The sequence below is a fragment of the Homo sapiens genome, chromosome 7 (assembly GCF_000001405.40).
Source record: "Homo sapiens chromosome 7, GRCh38.p14 Primary Assembly".
NCBI classification, from domain to species: domain Eukaryota; kingdom Metazoa; phylum Chordata; class Mammalia; order Primates; family Hominidae; genus Homo; species Homo sapiens.
In genome coordinates, this window is record NC_000007.14 from 121509388 (window position 1) to 121516625 (window position 7238).

The 7238-nt window shown below is 39.7% G+C and overlaps 1 long non-coding RNA gene across 1 annotated transcript in view, besides 1 other annotated feature; it reads right to left on the bottom strand.

Moving 5' to 3' along the window:
- LOC124901737 (uncharacterized) overlaps positions 1-1807 on the bottom strand; it is a 60247-nt gene extending 58440 nt beyond the window's left edge. Inside the window, exon 1 of the long non-coding RNA XR_007060496.1 lies at positions 1389-1807. This is a non-coding gene — a long non-coding RNA (uncharacterized LOC124901737). The remainder of the gene's footprint in view (positions 1-1388) is intronic.
- Positions 1524-2723: an enhancer, noted in NCBI's record as "MED14-independent group 3 enhancer chr7:121150965-121152164 (GRCh37/hg19 assembly coordinates)". NCBI's record gives its function as "activates an origin of replication core promoter dependent on BRD2, BRD4, P300/CBP and CDK7 cofactors, and independent of MED14, by STARR-seq in HCT116 cells {active_cell/tissue: HCT116}" and the evidence as "EXISTENCE:reporter gene assay evidence [ECO:0000049][PMID:35650434]".

Here is a 7238-nt window from a genome sequence, read left to right on the forward strand (position 1 = left end):
GTTCAGCTGCAGGGACATTATGACTGGGATAGGGGGTGTTCACATTCCCAAACCATCATAGCAGCCCTACAGATCATGCTTTTTTCCTCTCCCGAAAAGTGGATGCTTAAGATGGACATTAACTCAACCCAAGTATGTAACTGGGGTCCCAGAAATTGATGGATTTGATCTGACATACCATAGGGATCATCTAAGAGTGGTCTAAGCTCCCTTTTCAGGTTTCTAACTTCTGAGCTGGTTAAATCGGCATTCACAAAGCCAATGTCCCCTCCTCCTAGAGGCACTTCCCTTAAGGAAAAAAGTTGGTGGTCGATCCTCTGGTGGTAGAGGGGAAAGGGAAGTTTTGAATATCCTTCTTACATTTTTCTATCTCATGTTGAAGCCTTCCTAAAGGAGGATATTCAGGCTGGAGATGACTCCAAGAGTCAGGGTTATGAGGGGGAGAGCAGAGTGAGTTGGGGAAGGACTAGGGGCAGCAGCATTTGCTTGAAGGGGAGGGAGGTTAGAGGTGGCAGTGGTGGGAGCGGACGCTGGTGGAGGAAGGTGGTCTAAAGGGTTCCACATGCTAGTGGATGGTTTCAGATTAGGGATCTTAATTTCCTCAGGGGAAGCAGTTCCCTGCTTGTCTTTTGTAGTTTTTAAGGGATTTAGAAGAACAGACCCCTGCCACCAACACAGGGCATAGTCTATTTCCTCCTGGGAGACAGGACCTTTGTTATTGACATATTCTATTAAAAGTTGGCAAATCCAATCCTCATTAGACCCAAACTTGGGCCAGAAGACTGAGGGTTTGAGGACAGGTTCTTTAATCCAAATAAAACAGTAATATCTTATCATTTGCTGCTTTTTATTATGTTTCGTTCTTTCATTATCCTTCCAATATTTTAACATGAGACCTAGAGGGCTGTCTAAGGGGATTATACTGTCTGTCTTTTCCTTTTTATCCCCCATCTTGCTTGAGCTATTTCCCATCCCAGAAGTTTTTAGGTGTTTCCCTGAGTGTCCCAAGTGTGTGGGGCTCAACCTCTCTCACTAGAGATTTCTTGCTCCCTTGGCTCTAGAGGCTCATCCCCTGCCCCAGCTGGAGGTTTCTTGTACTCTGCTGTAGAGGCTCAACACCCCCTGCTGGAGGTTTCTTGCATTCTTATACTTTTGCTTTTTCTGTCTCTGGCCACTTCCCCAGAGGGAATTTAGGTACCTCTTAACATTGGTGGGTCAGTATAAACCCCCGACAGGCAAGCCACCATAAGCCATATGAGGTGACCATGGAACCACAGATCAGGACTCTACACTTAGCGCTCAATTGTGCATCTCATTCACACACTTTCAACTGCCAGAATGTCCCGACCACCAAGGAAATAATTCACTGCCCCTGCAGTTTTTCTTACCTTGGTCTGTGCATAGAGTTACCTGGTCACCCCGGTATCTGTAGGCCTTTTCTTCCCATGTTGCTGAGGATCCATGTTTATTTGTCACGCTGGTTGGGTCTCGATTCCTTACCCCTGAGACCACCACAATGAGGCAGCTGGATGTATCTCCCCACAAGAGGTGATCTGAGACCCTTCCCTGGAGGAGAATGGGAATCCCAGATGAGCCCCCAGGCTTGTTGGAAACAAATGCTCGGTGCTGCAGGGAAGAACCAGCACTTACGCAAAATTTTTCTCAGCAAGGCAATTTGCTTCTGCAGAAGGGTGCTGCCTGCATCAGTTACGATTGCAAGAGCACACTGAACAAAGGAGAGAAGTGGTTTTTATCCCTAATGCAGTTCCTGTCCCTGTGTCTAGGGTTGGACTGCACAATCTAAACTGATCCTGACTGGCTAAGACTTAAACTTTTCTAAACAGGGTAAATGCACAGTCTGTAAGAGGAGGAGGGGGTAGGAGTGGTGATCCATCCACTAGAATACAAGGCATGTCTGGACATGTCTGGGCATGTCAGGGTGCAACTAGAGTGGGAGAGTTGTTGGCAGGCTGGAAACAAAGAGTACAAGGAGGTTGGGCTTTTGAACAAAGGACAGGAACATTATACAATTAAACCTTTTGAAGAGTAATTTATCATTCCTAACAAAGAAAAAATGGGTAATACCTATGTAGCATGGGAGAAACTTCTACAGCACTGTGCAACTAACTTTGCAAGATACAGATTAAGCATAAATGGAGTTAAAATAGCTCATTGTAGAGAGGTAACCCCGTGAAAGAAATAAAAATATTTCACCCCAAAATATAGTTTTTTTTGTTTGTTTTTTGTGACAGAGTCCCACTCTGTCACCAGACTGGAGTGCAGTGGCACAATCTCAGCTCACTGCAACCTCTGCCTCCTGGGTTCAAGCAATTCTCCTGCCTCAGCCTCCTGAGTAGCTGGGACTACAGGTGCACACCACCATGACCAACTAATTTTTGTATTTTTAGTAGAAATGGGGTTTCACCATGTTAGCCAGGATGGTCTCGATCTCTTGACCTAGTGATCCACCTGCTTTGGCCTCCCAAAGTGCTGGTATTACAGGCATGAGCCACTGCGCCCAGCCCAAAATATAATTTTTTGAGATGGCTGTTCAGATGGCCTGCAAACAGAAGTACTCCTGCAAAGCTGTCTCTTAATGGGGACATTTGCATTTGTAGAGAATGTGCATTGATGCAGCCAGGTTTTCTTAGAAGCTTTCCCTTGTCTGGACCTAGGAAAGATGAACCTAGAGTCTGATACCTTAAAAGGTCTGAAAAAACATTACCATCTGTTATCTCTGAGGGTTTCTATCTCTGAGATTTCACTTACGTAACAAGACCACCTTTGCTAGCCAGCCTTCCTCGTCTCCCCACTTCTATAACCTGTCTTGCCAATGCAACCGGATTTACCACCATAATCTGCTTTTGGCCATGCTCTGAGCCCCTACGAGGGTTTGGGGTAATCACTCTGTGGTTGTCCCCCATGTGCACATTAATAAATTTGTATGCCTTTTCTCCAATTAACCTGCCTTTTGTCAGTTGATTTTCCAGCAAACCATCAGAGGGTGAAGGGGAAATATTCCCTGGGCTCCTACACCTGCCACAGCTCTAGAAGCTCTAAATAGACAGCCAGAGGGACTCAGTAAAGGTGAATTCATCAGCATAAATGAGCAAAGTGGTTGTGATGAAAAGGATGAAGAATTAAAAGAATTCTTAGAAATGTCATGACATTGAAAGCACAAAGCATACAACACTAGAAGCTAATTTAAGCCTAATAAGGAGAGTGAAAATTTGCCCAGGTGTAAAAAATGTTTCCTCCCTATTGTAAGTGGCGCAATGAGAAGAAAGCAGGTACTGTTCAAACTATTCTTGATAAATGTTTTACAAAAAAATAAAGCACTTTAATTTTCAAGTTTCTGCTGTTTTTGATTATAGTGTACTAAATAAATGTTAGTTTTATTATTTTTTGACATACCTATACATTCATAACTGACAGAAGTTTTAAATATTTCAACAAAAAATTTGAAAGGTCATGAACAGACATAATTTTTTTGCATAAATTATTAAGACTGCTTTGCCTGGATTCAGTTTGCACAGTTATTTTCATGGTTCCTCAGAATGTGCAAAGTGAACATTGTCACATATATCACATATATAATATTTGAATGTGGAGAGAAATTGATTCATTTACTTAACAGATATTTATTTAGCACTGACTCTTTACCAAGAACTGGGGATATACGGTGACCAAATAACAGTATCAAATCTTATGAATAAATTTAAAATATGTCTAGTGATTTTAAGAGTTATAAAGAAAAGTAAATCTAAACAATGGGATAGAGTTTAGGGCAGGAGGATGGTATATTCTTTTTCTATATTGTGGTCCCTGACAGCCTGTCTGTAAGCTGACATTGGACATAGAAATGCAGATGGCTGGAGGAAGAGAATTCCAGAGAAAGGAAATACTAAGCACAGTATTGTTCTCTATTATTATTCATGATTCTACAAAATGTTTTTCTTCGTAGCTCAGGAGCCAGATCTTGGTGAAGTATTGAAAAACAATCATAAGGCTGTTGCTATATTTAGGAACCCATAGAATGCTCAGCATATGATGATCCCTAAATAGTTGTGCTTCCAGACCAGTGGAATGGTGCATGGATTTATTTGTTGCCTTACAATTTCTTGAAAAACATATTAATTCAAATTCTGCTTGGTTTTCCAGTACATAATTAGGCAGAGGCAATTCGGTTGAGAAAGCACTGTTTCTACTACTCAAACATTATTTCTGAGATGCCAAACATGTTATGGTTAACAACTCTCACATCTTTAAACAATCTTCTATTGAAGTTTATATATGTTTCTACTTTGTGAGGCATATTATTGATGCATAGGTCTGAATTAGCTCTACCTTCTCTTTACTCATTTCCACAATCAGGCCATGAACTCTGATTTTTTTTTCTCTGTTGAATGACAATTGCTTTAAGGAGAAAAAGATCAAATACTTGGTAAAATGGAAATTAAATACATGTTACATATTTGTGGTCAAACTCCAGAAACAATTGTAAGAAAAACAAAGGTGTATTTACTGGTTAAATCTTCAAACAATCTCTGAAGCAGATACTACTATTATGATTACTTTGCAGATGAAGACCAGACTCAGAGAGCTAATAACTGGTAGATCTGGGATTTGAACCCAGAAAGTGGGACTCCAGATCCTGCACTCTTAATCACTGCCTTAATCACTGAACTGGACTGAATCAAAGGGCCCAGTTGTCTGAGAAAATTGTTTGCCATATGCGCTTCGTCTTCCCTGTAGTTGTTGTGCAAGCATCATTTTGCTCCATACAAGGTTCACTCAAGCAGAATACTGAAAAAGATCAAAGCTCTTTATCCAGCTTAATAGTTTTAGAAAAAGAAAAGGCAGATTGAATCAACTGAAATAAGAAATGTACTCATAAAAACATGGCTATTTCTGCGGTACAACATAGCAACTATTAGAAAGTTTAAGAGAACTAAAGAGTTACTCTTGTTATGCATATGCACATTAATATAAATGGAAGCTCTCTGAGTACAGTGAAAAATCACTCCCTAGGCAGAGACTAGTATGAATGTTTCACGGGGCTAATGAATAGGAAGATTCTAGCTATTGGAATCAGGAAGGTTACTATATAATTCATAAAGGCTTTTAGTAATACACAAATGTCTGTTTTTTAAAAAGTGACGTAGACCATCTTTATCACAGTCACTTAAATTATTAATAAAACCATAGCTTTTAAGATGGTCTCAATAAAAATGAATTGTAACGCATGATTCGGAGATTGTTAAGGCAGACTTGTATTTTGTAATTTATGTGTTTGTGAAGTCTGCCTACTTGTTTTAGTTCTTTTAGTTTGCTTACCAACATAACAGCTTAGCTTTTTCTTCGAAGCCAAGGTACACGATAAAGCAGTTCTCAGGTACTTAAGTATAAAGACGAAAGGTACTCTTCCCACTGTCCCAGTTTGCCTTCTCTGTTGAGGATATGGAAGGATGCCTCTTAGGAAGACTATACTCCTCCAGTCAGAGGAAAGTGACTCCACTTTCAAAGTTTCCAATGTAATGCGTATATGTAAGATTTAAACTGTAAAATATTTTGGATGATTTGTTTTTACAGAAACACGTTTTACATAGCTGATGTTAAATGATATGGAGAATCCTACTGAGTAACCTCTGCCCTCAAGGAAGGATCATAAAATCTATTGGATACCTTATAGGGAAGCAATAGGGCACTTTAAAAGCCCCTCAGGTATTTCAGGCTGTTTTGGCTATTGTAACAAAATACTATAAACTGGGTAGTTCATAAACAAAAGGAATTTATTTCTCACAGTTCTAGAGGCTGGGAAATTCAAAATCAAGATTCCAGCAGGTTCAGTGTCTAGTGAGGATCTACTTTCGGGTTAGTAGATGGTGTCTTTTCACTGTGTCCTTATATGGTGGAAAGAGCGACCAAGCTCCCTCATGCCTCCTTTTTAAGTGCACTAATCACTTTCATGGAATGCTCCACCCTCATGACTTAATCACCTTCCAAAGTTCCCACTTCCTAATATATTACCTTGGTGGTTAGGATTTCAACATAGGCATTTCAGAGTGACACAAACATTCAAGACCATAGCATCAGGTACTATGATACTAGAAAGACACAAGAAAGGATTCTAGTTTCACTTCTCAGGATGACAAGACTTAATACATTCCTGAATATTCATTCCCTTGCTTGTAAAATGGAATGATGATAATATCAATCTTGTAAGATTTTTGCAAGGATTATAAATGTCTAATATGTCCTAGACTTAATAAGTCCAATATGGAACTCTCGGCTTCCCTTTCCTTAATGAAAAAAAATTTTGTCCCCGGCTTTCCCCAACTTATGAAATAGCAGGATCTTTCACCCAATTTCTCAACACAGAAACAGAAGACTTATACTTGATTACTTTCTTACTCTCATGCCTACATTCAATATTTTAGCAAGTTTGAAGAATGCTCACTTTAATATGAGTCCCAGATGTGGCCTCTTCTTACCGTCTTCCATTCTGACTCACCAGACTTCTCAATAGTTTCCAAAATGTTCTCTCTGCTTAGTCTTTCCTCCACGTTATTCTCAACACAAGAACCAGAATGACATTTTAAATGCATGCAATAGATCACCTCACTTTCTTGTTCAAAATTCTCCTCCAATGATTTCTTAACTCATTTAAAATGAAATGTAGTCTCTTCAACATGGCCTTCAAGATCCTACAAGATCTGGCTCCTCTCCCTCTCTCTCGCCCTCTCTCTCTCTTTCCCGCTTGTGTCCAATCACTTGATCTCCTGGCCATATCTTTCTAGCCATATTGATGGTCCTTTGTTCCTGGAATGTTCCTAACTCATTCTGATCTTATGAGTGTTTGCATGTGAAGTCATACCTGGCTGGCTCTGTCATGCCTCCTCACATAAGTCTTCCCTAACCATCTAGTAAAAACAGCCCCCAGCCATTACCACATTATCTTGTTGAACTCTCCTCACAGCACTTACGTCTATATAAAATTACCACCTCCATAAGGTTCACAGAGCAGGAACATTGGCTATTTTGTTCATTGTCATATCCCAAAGATACTTAATATAAGCAGATTACAATTGATCATTTAATTAACATTAGTTGAAGAAACGACTGGATTAATGTTAACATATATGCAAATTTAGGCATACAATAGGCACACAGCAAATGTAATATACATGTAGTAATTTAAAAAGGTACAAAACTCTGAAAGACAGTATGGTATAAAT